Below are 27,698 nucleotides of genomic sequence, written 5' to 3' on the forward strand. Positions count from 1 at the left end.
TTCCATCGCTGATACCCTTTCTTCCAGTTGATCGCATTGGCTCCTGAGGCTTCTGCATTCTTCACGTAGTTCTCGAGCCTTGGTTTTCAGCTCCATCAGCTCCTTTAAGCACTTCTCTGTATTGGTTATTCTAGTTATACATTCTTCTAAATTTTTTTCAAAGTTTTCAACTTCTTTGCCTTTGGTTTGAATGTCCTCCCGTAGCTCAGAGTAATTTGATCGTCTGAAGCCTTCTTCTCTCAGCTCGTCAAAGTCATTCTCCGTCCAGCTTTGTTCCGTTGCTGGTGAGGAACTGCGTTCCTTTGGAGGAGGAGAGGTTCTCTGCTTTTTAGAGTTTCCAGTTTTTCTGTTCTGTTTTTTCCCCATCTTTGTGGTTTTATCTACTTTTGGTCTTTGATGATGGTGATGTACAGATGGGTTTTTGGTGTGGATGTCCTTTCTGTTTGTTAGTTTTCCTTCTAACAGACAGGACCCTCAGCTGCAGGTCTGTTGGAATACCCTGCCATGTGAGGTGTCAGTCTGCCCCTGCTGGGGGGTGCCTCCCAGTTAGGCTGCTCAGGGGTCAGGGGTCAGGGACCCACTTGAGGAGGCAGTCTGCCCATTCTCAGATCTCCAGCTGTGTGCTGGGAGAACCACTGCTGTCTTCAAAGCTGTCAGACTGGGACATTTAAGTCTGCAGAGGTTACTGCTGTCTTTTTGTTTGTCTGTGCCCTGCCCCCAGAGGTGGAGCGTACAGAGGCAGGCAGGCCTCCTTGAGCTGTGGTGGGCTCCACCCAGTTCGAGCTTCTGGGCTGCTTTGTTTACCTAAGCAAGCCTGGGCAATGGCGGGCGCCCCTCCCCCAGCCTCGCTGCCGCCTTGCAGTTTGATCTCAGACTGCTGTGCTAGCAATCAGCGAGACTCCGAGGGCGTAGGACCCTCCGAGCCAGGGCGGGATATAATCTCGTGGTGCGCCGTTTTTCAAGCCCGTCGGAAAAGTGCAGTATTCGGGTGGGAGTGACCCGATTTTCCAGGTGCTGTCCCTCACCCCTTTCTTTGACTCGGAAAGGGAACTCCCTGACCCCTTGCGCTTCCCAAGTGAGGCAATGCCTCGCCCTGCTTCGGCTCGTGCACGGTGCGCGCACCCACTGACCTGCGCCCACTGTCTGGCACTCCCTAGTGAGATGAACCTGGTACCTCAGATGGAAATGCAGAAATCACCGTCTTCTGCGTCGCTCACGCTGGGAGCTGTAGACCGGAGCTGTTCCTATTCAGCCATCTTGGCTCCTCCCTGTTTTGGTAACTTTTATTGTGTTTTGTTTATAGCTGCAATTTATGGCCAAAAATGACAATCTCTTATGATATAAGGAAATGACATTTTTTGAATTTCACAGAGTGTAGGTAATATTTTGTTGTCAGAAATCAAAAGGAGAGATTAGCAAAAAACAATAAACTTTCAAGAGAGTAAAATAAAACTCATACTATGTAGAGAAAATTAATCCGTATGCCTTAGCAAGTGGTGGTTCAATATTGCTGCCAAGAATATTTATTAACATTATTCAGGACAATTATGCATTGAGGAGGATTAGTTCTGTCTTGAAAGAGATTATTTAGCAAGGGCTGCCCAAATAGTTCGAGTTTACAGATTCAGAAATGAGATATGTTTTCTTAATCAATGTTGTAAAATTAATGTTTTTGTTAAGTTGTAGACACTCTTTCCTTAGTGAGGTCAAGTTGAATTGCAATTTAATATAGTTCCTGATCAGTAAAAGCACTTTTCATCAGTATAGTGGATGTTGAGTTCTTTTGAGAAAAAAGCAGTGCTTAGCCTTATTGATTTAGATGTATTAAGGTGAAGCATTTGTTCTTTCTATGTATGTGGTAATCCTGGAGTAGAAGTCACTCAGAAAAATTAATTATACACTGTAAGACTGCTTCCTGCAAACAAAAATGGGTTTTGTAACAATGTTTTTTTTTGTTTTTATTCCTTATGTCTTTGATAGCCTAATGTGTACAGACTACATAAATGACTATGTTTGAAATGTGTAAATAGAGTGTGTGTATGTGTGTGTGTGTGTATGTGAGAAAGAGAGATTTTAAAGCACCTAATGTTTTAGTAAGCTAAACTTTCAAAATTATCTAGTCTAATTTCCTGACTATATATATATTTTCTCTCATATATTCATATATATATTTATATATGAAAAATAACAATGAGACTTGGAATAATGGAGTCAACTTTGCCTAAGACCACACAGCTGACAGCTGCTGAGTAGCAGAACTAAATCGTAGCCTCATCTTTTCACTACTCCATCACTGTAAACAGTGTATCTCAACTGATAGAGTTTTTGCCTCTCAGGGGATATTTGGCAATGTCTGGTAACATTTTTGGTTTGCACAACTAAATGTGCTACTGGTAGCTAGTAGGTGGCAGCTGCGCACAGGACAGCCTCACATAACAAAGCATTATCTGGTCCAAAGGTCCACAGTGCTGAGTTGGAGAAATCATTCCAAGAAGCTGAGTACATCCTACTATTATTAACCAAGGAAAGAACAGTTAACCATTTACTGCTGCTATGAGCTCAATTAAAACCTAATGACTATATTTTTAATCCTAATTTTATCAGCTATATCTGATGATTTAAAAAGCAAATATTTATTTCTAGGCCACCTCTTAATAATTAGATATTCCCAAGCAAATGTTCTAAAATTTTCAGTCTCACAAAGATAATTTCACAGTTTTTATTAGAAGCTTAAGTAATGTGTCTAACTGCTTTGCTCGGAGCCTAAGTAGTGGATGCCAAAACAAGACCATGACCATAAAGCTACCAGGTTGAGAGGTAGCAACGTAAGTTATACCATCAGACTGGGACATGCCTGAATTTACTTAATGTTCATATTTACAATATAAAAATTTGATTTTAGATTATTTTGTAGATGTTGCAGTTAGGTCAACATAACTACTCTTAAAAACAACTATTGCCAGTGATAGCCTTAATCCATCCCTTTAATTCATTCAGGTGTTTGTGACGTACTGTTTTAGCACTTATATCCATTATTTCTTAACTGTCAGAATGTTTCTACAGGTTACATCTTTTTTACACATACTTGAACCGAGGCTTAGAGATGTAACTCTTTGAGAACACACAACCAATGCTTGAACTCAGGCCTGTCTGACATCAAGATCTCTTCTTTTTTCTGCATGTTAGATATTGTAGATTAGATTTATTTTTCTTAAATTGTTTTCTTAACTTTTCCTTTAGTTGACAAAATATAAATATAGTTAGTTTTGTGTTATAGCTTAGACATTTTCATAAAAGTGCATATTCTGTTTATAAAGAAAATTTGGACATTGAGAGACAATTATTCCTATTTTTAAAATAGCAGGAGGGAAGAAAATAATATTTTCTAGATTGATGCAATAAGATTCACTTATTGTCATTTGGACTTATGTGACTGTATCTGGGCACACACAGGTTAGTTTAATAAGACCTGCTGGCTGCCCAGCTGGTCTCTCCTGATTAATGAAGAGTGCATTTGGAACACCACAGCTGTACTCTGTGAGTTCATGAATGCACAGTTGTAATCTATGATTTCAAATCACCTAGTACATTTCAATCAAAACCAAAATTGGCTTCCTTACAAAAAATTTTCAGTTGCTGACATTGTAACATGTTGTTTTAGAGTAATTTTACAAATATTGTTGTCATTAAAATTGTAGCCATTAAGATTTTTAAACTGTAGCGGAATTCAAATAGTTACTAAGGTCCACAGAAAATTATTTGTCTGACTTAATTGGTATTTCTATTTTTTAAAAAAGTTTGTCGATGACAGGCATATATGTATCTAATGTTAGTACTATTAATTCTTTCAATTTATAAAAGTAGAATAAAAACCAATGTTAGAAGAATTTTAAAATCACTATATACTTATTCAATATTTTGATAGTATATCTTTCTAATTTACTTTCTCTATAACATGTCCGATTCTGAGACATTATTTTTATTTTCTTCAGTATGTTCATAGAATATCCATCCATCCATCCATCCATCCATCCATCCATCCATCCATTTATCCATTTACTGTTTCATTAAATGATGAGACCAAGATATGTCTTAGCTCTGCTACCAACCAGCTGTCAGCTTTGTGGTCTTATTCATTAATTTATTTGCTTTGTTTTTTGCAAAATATTAAAATATAAATACAACATTATCTTCTTAAGAAATTCATAGCTTTTTGAGAAAACAGACAGGTACATAAATCCACCAGTATAGCTTTAGCTGTAGCGTTAACTTTTTCTATTGGAATCAGGAACTGCCCCACAGATATGGTGAGAGATAGATGTAACATTGGGTAAAGGTTGCTGCAGGAGTTTTCAATTTCATGATTTCTTCTGGACCTCCCAATTAGGTGATAAGAATCTAGAGTAAATCAGTTTTGATTAATATTTATTCCCCATTGTTTCTCCAGCTAGATACTATTACAATTTTCCATTGGCCTCTAGCTCCCAATCTAATAAATAAGGACATAGGAGAAACCTGATGACAGTGGCTTCACCAGATTAAGTTCTCTTTTCCTCCCATCACTGAAATCTCTCATGAGGTTGATTAAAACTCAGAGTTTTACTGCTGTTCTCAATGTGTGGCTTGCATCTGAATCATGACTTCACCAGCTTATTATCATTTAAGAATAGCTTCCCCATCTCCAGCCTCCTTGTCTTGTTCAAGGAATGAAAAAAGAGAAAGAAGTCAACAGACTGGCATTAGAAATACAAAAGTTTTCTAAACCCATTAGATTTCCACTTATGTTTCATTGGCAAAACTGCACCACACAGCCAAATATATTTGTATGGGAGGCTTGGTAACATAGGCTTCAAAAAAAATGACCACATTGTTGCTCCAAACAAAAATAAAAAATTGTTTTGTAGGGAGGAAAGGGAGAAAGGATACTGGGTAGGTAAATATCAGAACCCACAGGGTGGATGTAATATGTAGAATGAAACTGGAATCCACTAAAAAAAAATAGCCTTCATTGATGTGTGCTGAGTACCTCAAGACATTATAAACTTGCCAACAAATTTTGGAAACCTCACGGCTGAATTTTTCTCGTCTCTTTATCATATGCCCCCAAGTGATTGTTATATGATATGGAGTGTTAGGATAATGGAGGTGTGTGTGCACAGGGGTATTATAACCATGGTGTCGATGTACCCTTTGAAACTAGGATGGAGACCATAGATAACTTTGTTTTTTATTCTGAGAGGTCCCATGCTATCAATGAACAAATAATTTGTGAGGCAGACTTGGCAATAAGGATGAAGTAGGACACCTTCTCCATTTTCTGACCCTAATGGTTGTGGCCTGTGTGGGGCAAAAAGAGCCTTCACATGAGAAAGCTGCAAGTAAGACAGTGCCCTCCATATATAGTCAGATTTTACTGGTCATTAATTTGTAAACTCGCCAGTAAAAAAAAAAAAAAAAAATGTTGTGGTAAGACAAAAACAAATGCAAAGATACAGAAGGAGATAAAGTGAAGAGAGAGGTTTCAGGTTTTAATGTAAAGACGGGTTATTAAATTTGAATGGTGAAGAAGAGTAAGAACTTAGGAATAGCAAAGAGATTTCTAGATTGAGAGACTGGATGGGGCTAGATTGAGATTACAAGATACAGTAGAGTCTTCGGAAGAAATATAAGAGCTTTGATGATTGGAGATTATTGAAAGATTTAAATGGCTCCTAGTGAATATTTCATTAGACTTTGGAAATACAGATCTGAAGCTTTAGAAACTATTAAGGAAAGGCCATATATATTTCAGAATTATATGTCTATTAGTTCACTAGGGCTGCTGTAACAAATATCACAAGTTTGTGGCTTAAAACAATTGATCTCATAGTTCTGAAGGACAGAAGTCCAAAATCAAGATGTCAGTCAGCAATACTCTTTTGAAAGCCCTAGGGAAGAACCCTTTTTTGACTCTTCCTAATTTTGGTGATGGTTGGCAATCCTTGGTTTGTAGACCTATCACTCCAATTGCTGTCTCTGTCTCTCTCACAACATTCTCCCCTGTGCGTTTTGTCTAAATTTCCCTCTTCTTATGAGGATACAAGTCCTTGGAATATGGTTCCCCCTCACCCAGTATGGCCTCAGTGTAACCTGATTACATCTTCAAAGACCGTATTTCCAAATAATCATCTTCATAGGTACAGGAAGTTAGGATTTCAATATATCTTCTTAGAGGACACAATTCAACTCACCAAATATGTGTGGCAAAAGAAGCCTCAAAAACAGATGTGCTTACCTAGACAGAAATGTGAAATAAGAATAGGACCAATGATGGCCTCTTGAAGGTGTTCCACCATTGAAAGGAAAGAAAAGTAATAAGAGAGGGGATAAAAGTATGACATGGTCAGAAAGATGAAAACATAATCTAGAAAAGTTGTGGTTTAGAAGCCAAGAAAAGCCAATGTATTATGAAGAAGGGAGTTGACAAAAAGATTAAAAAACCTTCATGGACTTCAAGTGCATAAGTACCGGAAATAGACTACTGTATCTTTTTAAAGATGGAGCAGAAGAAAGCTGGGAGAAGAAAGACAATTTAAGAGACAGAGAGACACTGCAGTGATCTAGAAAGATCATGATGGTTGTCTGAACCAGAGTAGTGGCAGTGAGAAAAGAAGACTGGGCAAATTATTGAAGTATAATCAAAAGGAACTAGTGCTGGATTTGATATAGAATAGAAGGAGTCAAGGATGACTTCCAGAATTTTTCTTTGGGAAACTGTAAAACTGGGTTGACATTTACATAGATAACACAGCAGGTCCATGGAGAGATGATGATTTCAGTTTAGATAAGCTGATGCCATATCTGTGTAATTTTCTAGTTGAGGGGTATAGTGGGCTGACAAATATGAGTATTGAAAATTCAGACAGTCATTGGGTCTAAAAGTAGATATTTGGGAGTCATCTAAAAAGAAAGATGGTAATTTAAACTATGAGGATGGGTGGCTTTATCCAGAGAGAGAATATACCATTTATATGTAGATTTATCTAAGAACATATGTGATGCACACCAAAGGATGGATGGAGGATGAGGCATCATCAAAGAGGGTGAGAAGGGCCAGCAAAAGAGGTCAAGAGGAAAACCAGGAGAGTGTTATGCCAAGACAAGAGATGTCTTCATGTGGGCAGGGTTGTGAACAGTATGAAAGGCTGTGTAGATGTCAACTAGAAGGATTGAGGTGAGTTAGAAAAATTAAAAATAAATAGAATATTTATGTACATGCATGTGTGTGTGTGTGTGTGTGTGTGTGTATTGTCACTTTGATGAATTAAAATCAGGTGGATGCAAGACTAAATAAAATTCTTGGCTGGAGAACTTTCAATCATTTGGCCATGACAGAAAGAATGGTACCTGAAAGTGAAAATGACTGAATTAAAAGTAAAGTTCATTGGCATACATGAAATTGACTAGAGAATGTATGGTATTTAACATCACGTGGGGAAAATCCGGACAGGAGGGAACGTTCAAAGATAGAGGAGAGAGAATCATGATTAAGTTTAGCTCGATGGGTCAATTGGCTTTATACAGGAAGATGGCCACCTTTTCCATTGCATCAGAAAGTAAGTGGGAAAAGAATGTTAAGTAGAGATAGATGATAACACCGTAATAAGCCTACAAATTAGGGAAGGGTGAAAAATAAAATAATTTGAAGACATTTATTGCCTAAATTTCAAATGTTGTTTTTTTGCTACTTAAAAGGAGCAAGGCTATCCTGTTACCTTTTGACTTTTCTTTTTTACTTTGGACATTTTTTTGCTGCTAGTTTCAACCAGAGAAGCTCTTTTTTATGTGATCTCTCGCCTCCCCCCTCAACCCCCATCAGAACACTTCCTGACAGCTGAGTCATGTCAATGGAAAGCTACTTCATATTCTTTTTCCCCAGGGAAAGGGGCCAGAGAGCTTTCACTGGGCACCCCGGGGACTACAGCTCACAATTCCTGCCAATGTGACCACAATCAAGGGTTTTGACATGCAGTTATTGTTTCATGATTTGTATACTCAAATCTTTTATTAAATATGATTTCTTTTGCTTTTGTGCAATCTAATGCAAATCAGATTGGATGAATATTTTATATTGTTCCTGTAATGTGCAGTATAATTTCCTTTTAAATATTTTTCAGATAGGTACTTCCTGGGCTTTTTTTTTTTTTTGCTTTGCTATTTTAGTTTTTCTATTATTATTACAAGTTATACTGTTGTAATTAAACATTAAGAACACTTGTGGATCAAGGCGTGGGTGTCTTTTTCTTTTTCATCCACAGTACAGGTTTCAAATGGTTGTATGGAAAGCTTTGGATAACCATACTTAGGGAACATTAAAAATGGTTTTATTTTGGTTGGCTCAATGGTGATCCAAAGAGGGGGTTGTGGTAGTGGTTTCAATAAAACTTCACAACCAATGGGAATCTTTTTTGAGTTTGTGTGGAGTGCCCTTAATGCTGGAAATAATCCTGTTGGCTAGGACTCCAGAACTGTACGGATGAGAAAAGGATGCAGGAAATTCTGTTGTTTACACATGTGGCTGCAACTGAGACACTGGAGCAGCCCAGCAAGCCCAGAGGGTAAGAGTGTTTAATAACCTTGTGGTTTTCTATTTAATTTTTATATTTTCCTGCTGAGGTACAGCATGTGTTGTTCTCAGAGCAAAGACAGTTGCTTACAAGATGCAGAGCAAAACTACTGTAGAGCTGGGAAGCAGAAGGATTTGGAGTTTCTTTTTAAAGTGATTCCTTCCTTTCCCCTTTCATTTTTCCACTGTGGGTGTTATTATCCTGACAATTTGTCATACATTTCCTGTCTTTAAAAAATAACTGTATACTAAGCAAAACTCAGGTAAGAATTTCGACTCTACATTTAGACAGTAATAGTATATGTTGATATTAAAATTTTGTTTCATTGTTCCAAATGAATGTGAATTAGTCATTGTGTTTGAAGTAATCTATATTCTTACAGTAAAAAAGTAAAATTGTTATGGAAATCCTCCTATCTATGCCTCATGTACCTTGAATTCTTTTCAATTGTTGAGTCTTCATGCTAAATTCTTGTATTCGTTAATGGAAAGTATATTTCAAACTTAGCATGAATATTGATTTCTTTACATGCTACCTGTATAGTGTGGAGGAGACAGGGATACAGAATAAAATAATAAAATCCTGTGCATAATAAAAAGTAATGCTTAGCTATATAGAAGTAAATTATAAAACTGAAAAAAAATCTCTGGAAACCTTTGGGAAGCATTTGCTTACGTTTTCTGCAAAGATAAATTATCAATTGAATGTCAAGTGAGTACATTTATTAAATATAAATATAAGAAAGATTCGTCAAAAAATATAATTAGAAATATGTCAGTAACATAGGACCAAAATATATAAAATATTTATTGATATTCTTATTTACATCAATACCAGTTTTTCTGTTTTCTAAAATAATGTGAATGTGTTTTTGCTAATAATTTTCATGGGAAATGGTGTTATTACAACTTTTGAGTAAATATTCTCTTGTTAGTAAAATATGTTATTGCCAATAAATATTTTTATATATCCAGTAAATATTCTTGAATTCTATTTCATATTTTAATGAAAGCAATAAATTAGAAAGAAGATTTATAAGTTAGCGATACAATATCTGTGTAGGTTTGTGTGACCTATTTGAATATATTCAGAAAAATGCTTTATGTGAATTGCTTTATTTTCCAAAATATCCTATGTTCTTATGAAATCATAGATAATTTCATTGTCTCTCTTTTGCATCCTTCATATGTTATCATTGGATTCAATAATTGCTTGATCACTGGGACATTGTTTCTGGGCCTCACTATGGGTTTGGCTTCAAGGTAATTTATGAATGTTTCATCTAATTATTACAGTTACAAAACAATGGCTGTAATTCTTAAAATACAAGAAATGCTCTCAGGTCGTCATATCTCTTATGCTGATATTACAAGACCAATTGAATTCTGCCATAATGCCAAAATATTCAGAAATTCCCTTTTTAGCAGGTATGTGAGTCCTAAAGAGATGCCAGAGGCTTTAAAGAAAAGTTCAACTTCTTGAACTTAGTCTTGAAAAACTAGTGGAACTTGGATAGGTGCTGAAAGCAAGAGGAATACTCTACTTTGAAGAAGTAATTGGCAAAAAGGGTTTTGAACACAAATTAGCATAGAGCATAAAAGAATGGTGAGTAATTTATCTGATTGGAGCAGAAAAAATATACCTTTGTGAGTATCAGACGTTGTACTCAATACATAGAACAGGAAAAATTGATAGAGCATCTTAACATTGCACACAGAAAAATGTGGCCTTTACATATCATACAAAGGGGACAATTGCAAGTTTCTGAAAAGAGGTGGAGTATCTGTGCCTCTTTTCATCATCTTTACCATAATCATCATCATCATCATTTTGCCAACACATAATAGCATTTTCTGCTTGCAAGGTGATTTACATACATATCCACAATTTTGATAGCTTTGCAAGAAAATGAACATTATTTTACACATTATTTTCATTTTGCACTTGAAGGAACCTGCTGTTCAGAAACGTTCAATGATTTGCTTAAAGCCACAGATAAAGAAAGTGAGGGAACCAGAATTTCAAATAATGTCTTTCTGGCTCCAGAGCTATTTCCACGATGTTGTGCTGGTATTCTAGGAATGTGAATCTGGCAGAAGTCGAGCAGAATGGTTTGAAGTGGACACTGGGATTTTAGGGTGCAGGGAGGAGGTCGTGAGACAACAGCCCAAAGATCCATTCCGATATTCTATAAATCCAGACGAATTACTGTTCTATCAGTTGGGCCACACTTTTCCTTTGGGAATTGAGAGAAGAGACTGACGCTGCAAATAAGGGGTAATTTTTACATTTAAATTAGCGGCCCTCAGATTCAACACTTATGCTTTTCTCTCTCTTACATTTTCTTAAATCTACTTAGAGAAGGTATCTTTTGCATTCTCAAAGAAAATGTCATCACTGATTTGCACTGAATATTACCTATTCACAAATGAGATGTGTGAGGTGGCCAGGAATAACACTGGGGATGTACTGACTTTCCTCTGTTTCTTTTTGATACATGGTATCAACGAACACTCAGCGACCAAATACTCTTAAAACTATGGAATGACCAAGTTATTATCAAATAAAGGCATTGTATAAGTTTCATTTCAATAGGTGAAAAGCATAAATAAAATTCACATTGTAATAGATAGTGTGAAATACAGTACATTCACAGTAAAAAAGAATAGAACTTATTTATTAACATGTTTTCCTTCATATATCCAAACCTTAAAGACATTACTTCTTCTCAAAGTAGAACTAGTATCTGGGATAACATTCATTTTCTTCTTCTTTTTTTTCAATGAAATAAAAATTATAGCTTATTTCATAACAACGAGGTTTTTTTGTTCAATGTATACATGATGGTAACTATGCTATCATTTTATGAACATACTGCCTACTAGTTTAGAATCATACTATCATTAAGTAGGCTTTACTGAAGGAGTATCTTTTTGCCGTACACGAAAACAGATGAGGATAGTTGAAATGCAAAGATTTGGTCACTGACCTTGAGATTTTATTTTTGTACAGGTTTAGGTTGCATTCTAAGAATATATTCTATAGAAGACATTTTGTATAACTAGTGCTCCATCCTCAGTGCCCTGACTAATTGTAGATGCTCAATGGAGATTGTGAGCTTGAGACCTTGATTGTAAAATGGAAAACTAGATATTGTATTGGAGGTTGTGCTCAAGGCCATTTAATTGTAGTCATAGCTTTGCAAAGGACTGTTAACATTATTATATACTTAAATATTATCCAAGTTGATTTATATTTAATGATATTTCCTAAAAGAATTGCTGTTGTGTGTCATAAATATATTAAAATATTTGATGTTAAAATTTTGATAGAAGGATTTTTTTAGTAGCTAAAGAAAAAGGTGTCCTTAATATTGAGAAAAAAAACATATGCTCACTGAAGAATTTATAAATATATCTTATCATAGTGTCTGTTTCAAATTTGTAGAATTAAAGTTTCCAAAAATAAAAGTGAGATTTTTAGTCACTGACTCGGGAGCATATGTTTCTAAGCTGCAGTAAACGTTTGGAAATATAACACAGGTAAAGAGGCAATAGTTGCATGAAGAAAAACCTGTAGCAACTTTAGACTCATTTTCATTTGGAAATAGTTTTGAGAGTCTTTCATACAATCTTTCCTTTCCTCCCTTAGTGAATTTAGGATTGTGAAGGCATTAGGTGAAAGATTACATTTATGACCTCTGCAAAAGATCAAATAGTCTTATTAGTCAGCCTATATTCATGAATTTTCTATCTTCTTTTGACATGAAGGGTTTTGAACAAGCGTTTCTTCTCTGGATGAGAAGAAAATGTATTTCACAATAAAACATGAAAATTATAAGGTGCTCAGTGGGATTATAACATTTGGTAGCACAGGAAAAAAGAGAAAGATGTGGAAGTGCCATAATCCATTGGTGTTTCATATAATTCTAGAAGGTTCTGGTTATAACCTGTTCCTAATTTGGAGCTAGAATAATCTCAGGGATTGTCTGAGGGTTCAGGTGAGCTTTGTTCTATCTTTGTTTGGAAATCACTTTACAGGTATTGTCAATGGTAGGAATGAGTTGGGTCAAAGCAACTACGTAGAGTCCCTGCCATCCTATTTTTGATACTGCCCAGGCTTCTTCATTCTTTTTGTAATAATGAAACTTAAGTTATAGAATTTATGATTGCATGGATTAAAAACATGGATGTTGCAATTATGTCGTGCTACAAGTGCCCTCTAAAGGTGTTAATGCTATATGAATTTACTTGCTGGCTTTTATGTTTTTGATATGTTTTTATATTTTATGTTTTTGGTATCAGGACTAAATAAATTTGACCTGATAATGTAGATTAATGGGAGAAATTCCAGTATTCATGGATTAGAACTAGGAGGGCTATCTCAGATACAGGCTTCTCACAGAAGGCTGGGGCCTAAGCATAGGTACTGAATGCAAAGCTCTGGTCCTGGACCTCACATGGTCCATTCATTGTCTATGGTTGGCCGTCATTGTTTCCTCTGTGGCTATAAGTTTCTTCCATATTATTGAGCAGGATGTTTATCTGAATTAATATAAATGACATATTCGAGAAGCATAGATCTTTATCCAAAACGATATCAGAAGTAGAAATAGTGCAGAAGACAAACTCCACCTCCCATCTGCTGATTCTTTTGAAACCCCTTGGTCCTCTTATCTCTGAAAGGGATACATGGCTTTGTTCTCCCAAATATCCTATCCACTTTCCACGCTGTTTCAAAAGTATTTCTGGCCAAATAAATGTAAATCTTCATCTTTTGTATATACAGATAATCATCATAGGTGTATTTGTGAATTATTTAAGTACTTGGAAGAATGAAGTTGCTGATAGCAATTAAAGTGGTGTGATTGGGGTTAACCTCACTTAAAACTGTTTCTTTATTAATTTTAAAAGCCTATAAGCGTTTAATATCTAAAAGCCACCTTCTTTAGAGAAGACTGACTTATTTAGTGGAACTTGTAATGCTTGCCTTTTGGAAGAAAAGGAATAGTTCTAAGTCACTCTGTTTTAGATTTGTCCATTTAGTAATAAATGTCTACCATGTCTCAGACACTGTTCTAGCAATGGAAATAGAGATGTGAATAAAAAGTAAAACCCCTTTCTTTACATTAAGCATATAGTCTAGCTGGTAAAGCAGTAGAATCCATACATAGTATATAAATATATATTAAGTCATGATAAGTACTGGAAGAAAAAAAGAACATTCAGGCTAAAAGGGAATAGAATATTTACACACTCTTGAAATAACCAGGGAATGTCCCTTCTGTTAGGGTGAAGGATGTAAGATACTTAACCACGAGGAATCTTGGCAGAAGAGAAGTATAAAGGAAATCACATGTGCTAAAGTCTTAAGTCAGAAGAATGTCCCTTCAAGGAATGGCCAGATGGCCGGCAGCTGCTGGGAATGAGCGAGGCAGGGAGGCACAGGCAGAAGCTACTTTAAGAGGAAGTAAATCCAGCTTAAGCTTCAAGATATTAGGGTGGTGCAAAAGTAATTGCATTTTTTGCCATTACTTTCAATGGGAAAAATCACAATTACATGGTCACCAACCTAATATTATTTTACTTTTAAAAGGGCTCTTCATACCCCAACTGTAGGAGCCTCAGGTCGGGAAATCATGGGTCCTGATGAAGAGTTCAGGGATGGTTTATGTTTAGATCATGACAACATCATAAACTACAACCACTTTATTCTGAGTTTGATGGGAAGTCATTTGAATGTTGGGATCCTAGAAATATTGTAACATAAGTTGAGTGTTCAAAGCATCCACTCGGCTGTGCTGTGGAGAACATACTGGAGTAGGGAAAAGGTAGAAGTGGGGAGGCCAGATACCATACAGTATTCCAGGCAAGAGACAGGGTGGTTTGAAGGAGATATTAGAGATGGAGTTTTTGTAATTCTGCATAGGCTGTATTTCATATTTTCCTGCCAGAACTGATGGAGTTTCCAACAATGATGTGCAATGAAGAGACAAAGGAATCAAGGGTAACCCCTAAGTTTGGTCTGTAAACCTAGAAGAGTGAAATGTGCATTTATTGACACAGGGAACACTGTGGAGGAGCAGGTGTAGATGTGAGGGGAGTTCAAGTGTTTGTTTTTGAACATGTGAAATCTGAGATGCTGATTAGATATCCTTAGTGATGTTAAGTGGGCAGCTGGACACGTGAGATCCCAGAGATAAAGGAACATCTCAGGCCAGAGATATGTCTGTTAGGAAATTTCAGAAAATTAATGAATTTGAAGTCAAAGGCCTGGATGCCTTCACCCAGAGCAATTACCCCAGCCTGAAGTCTCAGTGTTGGAGCGCTTGCAGTCAGAGGTGTGAAGCTGAGACAGAATGTGGGGCAGCTACCAGGGAGTAGGAGGAGAACCATGAGAGAGGATGCCCTCAGAAGCCAAGAAAGGGAATGATGAAATGGACAATCACATACAGGGCTTCTGGTTGGCCAAGTAAAACAGGAATTTCAGGCCTGGAATTGACCATTAGATTTGCAATGTAGAAGTCACTGATTTCCTGTTTTTGTGGCAAACTAGAGTTGAAAATGATACTGCGACTTCAAGAGAAAATGAGATAAATGAAAGTGTCTTTAAAATAATTTTTATTTTAGAAAATGCCAAAGATATGGAATGGCTGCTGGGTTGGGATCAAAATCTTTTTTTTTTTTTTTATGTTGAGGGTATTATAGCATGTGCATTTGCTAATGGGAATAATCTAATCTAGAGAGAGGTACAAACTAGTTAAACAGGAGAGGAGTATATTTGAGGAGGCCATGTCCTGGAGCGGATTAGAGGAAATTAGATAGAGCATACAAATGGGAAGTTTGGTGTTAAGAACGTGGAGTAATTCTCTATAAAAACAGACAGAATAACATATGGGTATCCATTAGACACATAGATATGATGGAACCAGTGGATGGCAGTTGTCTTATAATTACATATCTTTTGTAAGTGAAATAGAAAAACCCCCGCAATCTCAACAGATAAGGCAGAGCTGAATAAGATATGAAAATTTTGAAGATAGCTAATGTATGGGATTATTCAGTAGAATGTTTGTGATTTAATCAGGGAAAAATATTAATTTCCCTATGGTAGAGTTGGCTTGGCTACATTAAAGCCCATATGAGGTTCAGAGTCAAGAAACTGAAGTGAGACCAGATAGCAATGGGTGTGTTTTCTCAAAGCCTGATCAAGAGTGTAGGTGCAGACATGGAGCAGGAAGACAGCTGTGATTCACTGACATTAGAGTTTCTAAGCAAGTAGGGTCAAGAGAATGCCAAGCTTGCTCAGAGCAATTTGTTAAAACTGGAGCACAGAATAGGGAGGAGAGAGTGGATGTGAAGCCGATGAGGAAGAGAGAAAAAACAATACAGTCCATTGACAGGAGGCCATAGCTAGGTCAAAAAAGAGAGTTATGGGGACAATAGTAAAGGGTAATCAGAGAGGTGCTTATCATTGATATGGAAAGAAATGCTAGTATGGTAATGGGATCTAGGTGCATAACCAGCCAGTGAGTGGGTGAGGTCATATTATTGGAATTAATAGGAACTGAGAGGTGAGGATGTTGTAACGACACTATATATGAAATACTTTGGACATGAAAATTTTTCTTGTCCCTGAAAACATATTCAACTTCTCCTAACCTATTAACATAATTGGTTTCATTATATAAATGTTAATACCCATTCCCATGCCAAGACTCTACAGTGTTGTCAGTGATCTCATTTACTTTTCTCTCTGCTTATGTAACATTTTGATCAGTCCTACAGACTGTATTAAAGAGCAATCTTCAGCCAGTGATCAAAGCAAGACAAAGAAGCCTTCAAATACAGCAGATTACAAGCCCATAATTTTTTTATGTGTTTATCATTTTGCCAAAATTTTGGATAAAAATAAAATTATATGTATTAATAATGTTAAGAACACATGAATTAATATTATTTTTAGGTTTTTATTTACAACTGCTGTTTTAACAATGACATACATTTTTAAAATTAATAATTATTTTTTCCCATGTTGTCTAAACAGCTTTAAATATATTTTAATGGGATGTCTCAAAGCTTAGATAAGAATGCTCAGCAAACATATCCAATTTTTAAAATGATATTCATTTTATTTTTGTATGATTATTGCAACATCACCTCTTCTGTATTATGTGGCCATGTGGAAGAGAATGAGAATGTCACATTCACTTACCTTTGAATAGCAGGCTACTTTGGTATGCATTTTTATTATCAGTAGAATATGTTTTTCAAGCATATATTTGCAAGTAATATTATTAGTAATTATCTTAATTTCCTGTATTTAGGAAACCTCTAGGTGTTAGAGACAGCAATATTGCCAAAACATTCTGAACATGTTTGAAAAAAATCAGAATGCAGTTTTCTATTTCTGTAAAATTCTCTGTGGAAAAAGAGAAGCTCTTAAAGTCTATTGGATGCTCTACAGCTATTTTGTCCAATAGAAATATAATTCAAGCAACATTTGCAATTTAAAGTAGCTACATTTAAAAAGTTAAAAAATGAACATGTGAAATTAATTTTAATAATATTTTTGATTTAATCCAATCTTTCAAAAATATCACTTCAAAATGTAATTAGTATGAAGTTATTAATGAGATAGTTTACATTTTTACGTTTCATGCTGTGTTTAATTAGTACTCACCGAACATCACAATTCAGGCGACCCTCATTTCAAGCGTTCCCTAACTACATCTGATAGGTGACTACCATTTAAGACAGCACAGGTTTAATACTCCAGAATATAAACGGTTCAAAAATATCTTCATAGCAACCATAGAATACATTTCAGGCATTGTATTTATCTCCTTGTTGAAAGGGGGAACACATATGAGTTTGAACGACCTTATCAAGGAAGAGAATTTACCTCACATTTTCTGAACCAGTGTTCTCTGGGTTCTACTATAGCTCTCATGTTATCATATTTACATACTTATGTTATTTTGATACTGAGAAGTATGTTAAAGATGGTGGCCTCTAGAAACAACTGGGACCAATATATTCTCTGCTTGCTATAATTTAAGAAAATTTACTAATTTAAGAAAATTTAACAGGTGTGAAAATCAGGCAATGATAAAAATGATAAAACTCAATTTAGGAGTCCACACAATTCTTAGTACTTTTTCTCTTTTTTTATAAATTAAATGCAATGTATAGATCTGGGAAATCATGAGATATTTAAGAAAAACAAGGAAAAAATAGAGTTTTTGAGGAAGAATTAAGATATGACGTTACAGGAATTACTTGGGAAAGAGTTGAAGACAATAATTACATGATTGGGAGGCAAAATAAAAACCAAGCAAGCTTTGAGAAATGTAAGAGTTTAATCTGGTCTTCCACTCTTTGCAGCTTTCCTTGCACATGGCGTCCATTTTCTGTTTTAGGGACTGGAAAGACAGATCTTTTGAGAAATACAAACACTGAGTATTCACTTCCTGTTATTTTGACATTTTTAATCCAATTCCTTTACTTGTCTTTACTAAGACAAACAACTATGCAAAAATGAAAGGAAACAAATGAAAACGGATCCCAGATCAATCAGCAGTTGTGTTAAGGATTCTACTTTCTAGTTAAATTTTTTATTTTCTTTATTGCTACCTTCTCCTATGTCAAAGGATGAAAACCAGAAATATAAACACTTAAAAAAAAAGATGATTGCAGAGTTGGTGGCCTCTATGTCTGAATAAATTACTAATTTATTTTGGCTAACATGGAGAAAATATGAGCAGGGATGAACGTTTCACTAGGATTTGAGCAACTAATCTTCGAATCAAAAGCTAACTTTTTTTTCTTAAGATTCCACGTCTTTTCCTTCTCAAGATTACAAACTCATCTATAAGTTTCATATTATAGATGTAACTTTCCCAGTGAAATCAACATTTTGGATCTCACTATTATAAGAAGTAGCTTACATATTGCACAACCATTCTATTTTGTTTTTCAAGTAACATATCTAAAATTGGATTACTTGTTTTATATTATATTAAGATGGAAAGAATTAGAACAAAACATGTGATGGATATTATTTTTATCTTAGAAGAGTTCATATAAATATAATAATTCTACAAATCAGATTACAGTGGCCAGGACAAAGAAGTCAGCATTTTGTCAATATATTACTAGCTGCTGTTCCTAAAATTTTTGGTGATATACTTGCATGTATTAATATTTCTCTTTGTTGCATAATAAAATAACATTTGGTTTTTGAATCATTCCATTGTTATTTCATTGCTTTTACTACTTTTTTTTTTTTTTTTTTTTTTTTTGTGAGACAGAGTCTCGCTCTTTCGGCCAGGCCGGACTGCAGTGGCGCTATCTCCGCTCACTGCAAGCTCTGCCTCCTGGGTTCACGCCATTCTCCTGCCTCAGCCTCCCGAGTAGCTGGGACTACAGGCGCCCGCCACCACGCCCGGATAATTTTTTTGTATTTTTAGTAGAGACAGGGTTTCACCGTATTAGCCAGGATGGTCTCGATCTCCTGACCTCTTGATCCGCCCACCTTGGCCTCCCAAAGTGCCGGGATTACAGGCGTGAGCCACAGCGCCCGGCTTACTACACATTTTTATTTTCGTTTTTCTGAAGATTATGAAGCTCTTTGGCAATAGAAAATGATTGGTTTAATGCCTTTATAGTACAATATACTAACAAATATTGTTTTATTTAGATACAAGATGAATTTTACATGGTTTTATTTTTAAAAATTTATGTCATAAGAAGTATATGTTCTGAAATTTATGCTATTTCTATTCAGAAGTAAGTAGCCTTGTGATTTCAAAATAGATTAATCATGTGTTTTAAGAAAAAACATAATTATGAAACTTGGGAAGTTTCATGTTCACTAATAATTTTGTTTTCTCAACATCCTCTTCAATTACATTAATAAAAGCATATCATTCAAGGACTAAATCCAGCCTGCGGTAATTTGGAGCATTCATAAACGTAATTGAGCTTCTACAATATTGTGCTTTGAACATGTTACCATGGGTGGGTGAAAGCAGCTGGCTTTCCTGTCTCAAATATTTTGAGAAATTTTAGAAAGTAAAGTTTACTCTCAGCCTAGAATTCCCTCATTTTCCATAAAGGAAGAAGAATTTACCATATAAATATTTATATTTGAGAGATAATTCAGGAACATTAGAGAAACTCTAAAAACACAGTTTAAGTTTGTGTTATAGTTGGTGTTATAGATTATGGAATTCTGTTTTTTCCAGTTTTCGATGTACATAAAAACCTAATGAAAATTATAATGTTCAGAGCAATTTGTTTTTAATCATTTAACTCAATTTTTGTTCTATTAAAAATGTTAACATCTAAATAACTTGTAACAAATGAATTTTTGAAAACTTTCCATTTAATAGCTACATAATTTTTAAAATAAATACATACTCATTTCCATGAGTCAGATTTTACATATAATCAAAGGTAAGCTCCATGAGAGTGGACATTTACATTTATTGATTCACTGGTACATCTTCAATGCCTAGAATTTCACGGCTGGAACATGGTAGAAATTTGATAAATATTTGTCGAATGAATAAATTCAAGATTCAAAAGCTAAGAAATGTTTATTCTTATTCTGCTTTAACAACTTTGAGGAATGAGTAGATATCATTATATACATGTGTGAATGTTTATAGTAAAATGGTCATTAAAATACATTGCTTTACCTGCATTTTCTCATTTGTTTGTCTCTTGCTTTGCTTTTGTTTCACGTGAGTTACTGAAATGTTTTTAAAACTCAAAATTGGATAACAATAGAAGTAAAGACAAATGAAAATAGTATACTTTAAAAATCTTAACATTATTTTACCACTTCTTGTTTTTCATTATGTGTAATTTAATTTGTATAAAGATTTTTTAGTCAAATTAATATTTAGAGATAGATTTGAAAGTGTTAATCTTTAAATAGAGTGCATATGTACAACAGATGCTGTTTTAAAAACTACAGCAAACAAAATCTAATAACACCAAAAAATTTGGAAAGAGGTAGTAAGCAGCTGTCTTACACAAATTCAATTTTCAGATAGATTTTAGTCTTTAGTCTTTTTTTTAACCAAACAAGTAATTTGTAAATCTCACTGAAAAACTTCATATAATGTACAGTCATTTGCATATACACACTCAGCAGGTGGTAAGCCCTGTTCAGACATTGCAGATATTGCACATATGATTTATATCTGATTAAAATGGAAATACAACAATAACCCAATGTATTAGTTTACAATATCATTAGAAAAATATTCAGGAAAAATTTTCTCCCTATGTGCCTTAATCCAGGAAATAATATCTCTATTATTAGCATATCTTATTCTCCATCACTTTTGAATGATTCCCGAATGCTGGTGACTCTTGGGTAATTGTAAACTTAGTGCTTTTTTTCCAGACAGGTTGGGTTCTCTAGGATCATGATTTTTAGAGAGACGGTTTTGAAAAATTTTCTTTTCTTTTCTTTGTTTTTTTTTTTTTTTTTTTTTTTTTTTATGCTTTAAGTTCTAGGATACATGGCAGAACGTGCAGGTTTGTTACATAGGTATACACGTGCCATGGTGGTTTGCTGCACCCATCAATGCATCTTCTACATTAGGTATTTATCCTAATGCTATCCCTCCCCTTGCTCCCCACCACCCAACAGGCCCCAGTGTGTGAGTGTGTGATGTGCCCCTCCCTATGTCCATGTTTTCTCATTGTTCAGCTCCCACTTATGAGTGAGAACATGCAGTGTTTGGTTTTCTGTTCCTGTGTTAGTTTGCTGAGAATGATGGTTTCCAGCTTCATCCTTGTCACTGTAAAGGACATGAACTCAACCTTTTTTATGGCTGCATAGTATTCCATGGTGTATATGTGCCACATTTTCTTTATCCAGTCTACCATTGATGGGCATTTGGTTTGCTTCCAAGTCTTTGCTATTGTGAATAGTGCTGCAGTAAACATACGTGTGCATGTGTCTTTATAGTAGAATGATTTATAATCCTTTGGGTATATACGCAGTAATGAGATTGCTGGGTCAAATGGTATTTCTGGTTCTACATCCTTTAGGTATAAAACAATATACAGCCTTCATGGAAACTTTGAAAGAAACAGTTTCTTTTCTATGTTGACAAACACATAAGAGGCTGGGCTTGGTGGGTCACGCCTGTAATCTCAGCACTTCGTGAGGTGGGCAGATCACCTGGGATCAGGGGTTTGAGACCAGCCTGGCCAACATGGCAAAACCCCATCTCTACTAAGAATACAAAAATTAGCTGGGTGTGGTGGCGTGCACCTGTAATTCCAGCTATTCAGAAGGCTGAGGCAGGAGAATCACTTGAACCTGGGAGGCAGAGGTTGCAGTGAGCCAAGTTCTTGTCACTGCACTCCAGCCTGGGCAACAAGAGTGAAATTTCATCTCAAAAACAAACAAACAAAAAACATAAGAAAGTCAACAATTTAGGCAGGCAGAAGGGTCTTTAAGAAAGAGGGAGTTTTCAACAAGATAGGCAAAGTAATGAAGAGATTGAAAGGAAGAAGGCTTTCTGGAAGGGGAGCATGGTGAGATGGCAGGAATGACAGGTGAGGATCCTGAGGTCACGTGAAGCACAGAGGACTGCAGGTCGACTCTCAGAGGTAGGGAGAAAAACTGGACCTGGAAGGTAATGTCTGAAGCCAGAAGAGACAAATATTGGGCTGAGGTAGGATTTAATATGCTGAGAATGTTCACTTAAAGGGGAAAATAACTCAGTCACTGAATGTGGTACCTTTTAAATTATCAATCTGGAAAAAAAGTATAAGATTCTCCTACCACTGCTGATTGAAATAAAACTGTGTAAGAACTAATATACTTAACAGTGTTAGATTTTTACCATTACAAATCAGTGCCTAATCTTTTCTTGTTAAACGTTCTATTGTTGAAATAAAAACCTTGCTAAAGCTATATATCATGGTTGGGTTTACAGAAAACAAAAGCAGATTTTCATATTTCCCTTAGGAGGATTAACCATTTCAACAGGAAAATATATTTATATTATTTTATATAAAAATATATTCAAAATTCACATTATGTTAAAGTATCCAATAGCTTTCATTCTACTTTATAAAAAGTGATAAAATTTTAAGATGTACTTTGTGATGAAACTTAATTCTCAACTAAAGACTCTACTTCAGAAGAAATTTTCCTTTTAATTCCTGGACCATGGTAATCATTTAGAAAATGTGGCTATATATGATTACTGGATTATGGTCATTATAAAGCAATAGAAAACAACTTTCATGTCGTGGTTCACTTTAAGTAATAGAAAAGCATTTTAAAGAACAACATAGCAGATCTGAATAGCGTCTCTATAGTTTAGAGGGGCTAAATACCCCGTAGCAGAAGATGTGTCTTTCAGATGTTGAATATTAATTGGGTAGGTTGATATATTTCAATATATCAAGAGGAGGCAAAATACAACGAGGCAGTGAAACAAATCATGACCCTAGTTAGTATTAAGCATTTCCTATGTTAAAAATGTGAATATACATATTTTAGTTCAAGCTGGTGCTTCTACATTTTTGTTGTTGTTGCTGTTGGAAGAAACATTCCTTCTGAAGAATTAACATACAGGAATTGAGTACTGACATCCTAGGGAAGTTGAATAATTTTGGTAATCCAAGGCAAAAAGCCCAGCTAGCCTGAGAAGGGGGATATCCAGGTATCCAGGCAGAGGAAACCTGGAGATGGAGAGAAGATGAGAGGAGAGAAGGGAAGCTGAGGTCAGAAAAGAGGAGGTCGGGGAGAGAAGGGGAAGGGAGGTGATATGGTTTGGCTCTGTGTCCCCATCCAAATCTCTTATTGAATTGTAATCCCCATGTGTTGGGGGAGTGGTCTGGTGGGAGATGATTGAATCATGAGAATGGACTTCCCCCTTGCTGTTCTTGTGATAGAGTGTAGAGTTCTCAAGTGATCTGCTTGTTTGATAAATGTATGGCATTTCCCACTTCTCTCTCTCTCTCTCTCTCTGTCTCTCTCCTGTTTCGCCATAATAAGATGGGCTTACATTCCCTTTGCCTTCTGCCATGATTGTACGCTTCCTGAGGCCTCCCCAGTCATGTGGAAATGTGAGTTAATTAAACCTATTTTCTTCATAAGTTACCCAGTCTCAGGTAGTTCTTTATAGCAGCACGAGAACCAACTAATACAGGAGGCCAGAGAGATGAGACGATAGAATGATAGGGGAGAGGAGAGAAGGGTAGAGGAAGGGATGGGAGGCAAGAGAAGGAGGAGTTAGAGGATGAAGAGGAAGGGAAGGGGAGGCCAGGAAAGAGGAGAGGAGAGGAGGCCACTTGTTCCTTCATAGAAACATTTTTATAGGACTTTGGACCAGAAATGTAGGTTAGTTAGGGGAGAAGAAGGGAGGGAAGGCCAGCAGAGAAGAGGATAAAGGAGGCCGGGAGAGTGGAGCCCAGGCGAGGGGAGACCAGGAGGTAAGACTTGGTTATCTGTGAAAAGGACTTTGAACCTAATCCTAAGAATTAATGGAAGAGCAATTGGGAACATTGCAGCAAAGATGAAGTCATATTAAAATATAATTTTATATATATATATATATATCTTTAGTTTTTGAGTGTAGAACACTTTTGAAAGGGAGAGAAGTTGGAAATCTATTTCAGTTATCTGAGAACGATGTGATAGTATTTGGACTAAAGTGGATGAGACAGAGAAACATGAATGTAAATAAAAATTTTTATAAGTTAAAATGAGCAAGACTTTACAATTGACTTGATATAGAAGATGATGAAGAATGGTTAGTAAGAGAAGCCTAAATCTTTGGCTTACACCAACTGAAAGGATAGTGGTGCCTTTTATTAGTAGGAAAAAATGAGAAAAAATGGAATTAATTTTCTGTAGAGTGAGAAGTATAAAAGGCTTTCTCTAAACTCCTTAAAGCAGCAAAATTTATGTTTTGCTTTAAGAAAACAGAATGAGTATTTTCTTTACTCCAATTTCTAGGAAAAGGAGGAAAACATTTTTTCAATCTTTTTTTGACATGGAGGAATTTTCTAGCTGTGCAAATTATTGTTTTGCAATTAATCACTTTTTTTCTAGGCTTTTTTTCTTAATTACAGGCTTTGAGCACTGTTAGCCAGAAATATTTATTCAATTTAGAGCATCTCTGTCAATGAATCAGCCACTGAAATAGAAATAAACTGGTTTCATCAAGAAACAATATGAATAGAGTTGGGTAATTAACACTTCTTCCTTCATAGAAACATTATTATAGGACTTTGGACCAGAAATGTAGGTTAGTTCTTCATTCAATGGTCAGTTACATTCAGGCATTAACTAAAATCTATCATGTATAGTCATATTATTTTCAAAGGAAAATTAAAGATTAAAATATAGCAATTTTCTCTATTTAAACCTTTCTTTTGATTTACTAAACATTTCTAAAGACAGAGCAATAAATGATAAGGTGAATATCATATTACAGAACTGTTTTCTTAATGTTTAGAAATAATATCGATAAGAATACCTGGGTTTTGAAAAATATAAATAGTCCCAGAAGTGTTTTAAGTACAAATAATAGCAACGAGCGTGTTTCCCAAAATATTTCATTTGCAATGAAAACAAGCTGAAAAGAAAAAAAATCTCCAATATGTTTATATTTAAAGGCCAAACACAAACTTTTCTAAGGAAAACTAATAATCCAGAAATATTAGAATAGATTTCTTCTTCTGATACACACCTATATCACTGCTAAAGTTTTTGATCCACTAGTATTTGCCAGTAAAAATTATTTTCAACAGAATATTAACAGACTGCAGATTGTCTTGCCTTGTAACATAAGGAGTTCTTTACTATTATTTGTTAAAGCAGGATATTTTATATATTTCATGTAAGTTTCTATAATCATACAATAATAAACATGATTTTTTATTTGCTTGTTCTGAGGTTTTAAGTCATTAAAAGGTAAATTTTCTTTGATCACAGTTCTAAAGTCTTACAAGTAACTGATCACTTTCAAATCATTCTCTTACTTTTTCCTTAATTTCTTTGATTTACACACATACAAACACGGAGGCAACAAATATATTTTCATCTCCAACAAATCTGTGTATTTCAAATGGATGGAATAACATCACTTGTTATGGCCCAATGGACACAGATAAACTGCAGGTATATGCATTGGGGCAATGGTAAACTGCATTTTAATTGAATTATAGAATTAGTTCTCTCTAGATTCATTTTTTGAATGTCTTCCATGTCCTAGTCACTGTGAAGACAAGGATAAATAAGATACAAGTTCTTTGCTAAGAAGCTTATAGACTGGCATGGAAACACATGTATTAAAATTATTATTCAATGCCGTAGATACAGAATAAAGTGATTAACCAGAGCATGGGAACACAGATGAAAATGGAACAAACTGACCAGGAAATATGGTATAGATTCATCATTTCTGTCATTCCAGCCACCCTTCACCTCCATTTACATACACACACACACACACACACACACACACACTGAACTCTGGTTTTCAAATAGTTTTGCACAAACTTCTTTTTTTCATCTTTTTATAGATATAAGATGTATGTATTTTTTTAAAAATCTGGATCATGTAGTTCATGTACTGTAACTGTAAGCTAAGAGTTGATGACAAGACTAGGGCTCTGTAAAATGTGCATTCCATTTGGAGAGCAAACAAGGAAAAATCAGTTTGAGTTTTATTTCAATATATCAATTCATTTTTCCCATAGCTTTAGATAATTTGGAAAAAGGATTTTTCACACTCCCATATCTCATTCTTCGTTTTATCTTTAAGTGTTTTGCTTTCCAAATTTTATTAATTCCACGCCTGATTTCATTGTAGCAGACTTTTTATTGTCCAAAGGAGAAGTAGAAAATGGAATAAATTGTTAAAAGAATTGATTCTTGTGATAATACCCTCTACCTTCACTGAAGATTTGGTACTAGTAATCAGGAATGTGTGAACATTGGTTTTAGACTCTGTATTTTAACTTCAGCCACAAATCCATCATGTACAGAAAGAGAATTTCAAGTAGTAAGAATGATTATGTATTGAATGTCTACATTGTGCCTGGGGTATCTGGGTGTGCATATTGTAGCATATATTCTAACAATAAACTGTAGGTAAAATCACTCCAGTTTTATGGTTTAAACTGAGTCTGGGAAAAGTAAACTTCTCCAAGATCTCACACCTGTTCAAAAGTTAAATCAAGTCACTTTTCACTATAGTCTTCTTCCTATTTCCTTTCTTTTTTTTTTTTTTTTTTTTTTTTGAGACGGAGTCTCGCTCTGTAGCCCAGGCTGGAGTGCAAAGGCACGATCTGGGCTCACTGCAAGCTCCGCCTCTCGGATTCACGCCATTCTCCTGCCTCAGCCTCCTGAGTAGCTGGGACTACAGGCGCCCGCCACCATGCCTGGCTAATTTTTCTATTTTTAGTACAGACGGGGTTTCACCATGTTAGCCAGGATGGTCTCGATAACCTGACATCGTGATCCGCCCGCCTCGGCGTCTCAAAGTGTTGGGATTACAGGCTTGAGGCACTGCACCCAGCCTCCTTTTCCCTTTCTAAGGGAACAAAAAGTCTTGCAGAAAATTTCTCTTAAAGAGCTATTGACTATTTTAAGATCAGTAATAATGTCTAAAAGCAGCATTAAATAGGGTAATGATCAGTTGGTCTGCCTTAGTGTACAACAGAAAATAAAATGTTTTTGTATTCAAGCTAACTTATGCTATGATTCACACAACATATTCTTGTCTGCTCCATTGTTCTGCATTGTGAGAGAAAGAAAACAGTGAGTTGTGTTCAAGCCACAGGAGTCCCAAGTTGGTCAGACCAAAAATTATGCTATTTTCCATTTATGTTTTTCTTACTAGTAGGAAAATCCATCGTTATAAAATGTTGCATGCATTTTTATATTTTATTTCAATTCTTGATGACTTTTATAAAACACTTGATTCACATTACATATGCCTGAGAATTCTTTAGACTTGTTAATAGTACGTGTTATCTGAAAGCATAAAATACATTTGAATGCAGGTTTGTTTTCTAGATTTCATACAACAGAACTCAG

General features: G+C 35.3%; 1 protein-coding gene across 7 annotated transcripts in view, besides 2 other annotated features; it reads left to right on the forward strand.

Moving 5' to 3' along the window:
• Positions 1 to 27,698, forward strand: part of CCDC102B (coiled-coil domain containing 102B) — a 342,906-nt gene that overhangs the window by 74,369 nt on the left and 240,839 nt on the right. For 2 of the 7 annotated variants that reach the window (XM_047437805.1, XM_017025974.2), the window contains exon 1: positions 8,687 to 8,868. The exons of 4 other annotated variants lie outside the window; for them this stretch is intronic. The gene's annotated coding sequence lies outside the window, so the exon portion shown is untranslated. Of the gene's footprint in view, positions 1 to 8,495; positions 8,598 to 8,686; positions 8,869 to 27,698 lie in introns of those variants that run through there. One more of the 7 variants, NM_024781.3, reaches the window with a different exon arrangement.
• Positions 377 to 1,014: an enhancer, noted in NCBI's record as "H3K27ac-H3K4me1 hESC enhancer chr18:66457198-66457835 (GRCh37/hg19 assembly coordinates)". NCBI's record gives its function as "activates a minimal SCP1, AML or CMV promoter by ChIP-STARR-seq in naive and primed H9 embryonic stem cells {active_cell/tissue: H9 hESC(naive and primed)}" and the evidence as "EXISTENCE:reporter gene assay evidence [ECO:0000049][PMID:30033119]".
• Positions 1,015 to 1,651: an enhancer, noted in NCBI's record as "H3K27ac-H3K4me1 hESC enhancer chr18:66457836-66458472 (GRCh37/hg19 assembly coordinates)". NCBI's record gives its function as "activates a minimal SCP1, AML or CMV promoter by ChIP-STARR-seq in naive H9 embryonic stem cells {active_cell/tissue: H9 hESC(naive)}" and the evidence as "EXISTENCE:reporter gene assay evidence [ECO:0000049][PMID:30033119]".

Source organism: Homo sapiens, chromosome 18 (assembly GCF_000001405.40).
Source record: "Homo sapiens chromosome 18, GRCh38.p14 Primary Assembly".
Taxonomy (NCBI): Eukaryota; Metazoa; Chordata; class Mammalia; order Primates; family Hominidae; genus Homo; species Homo sapiens.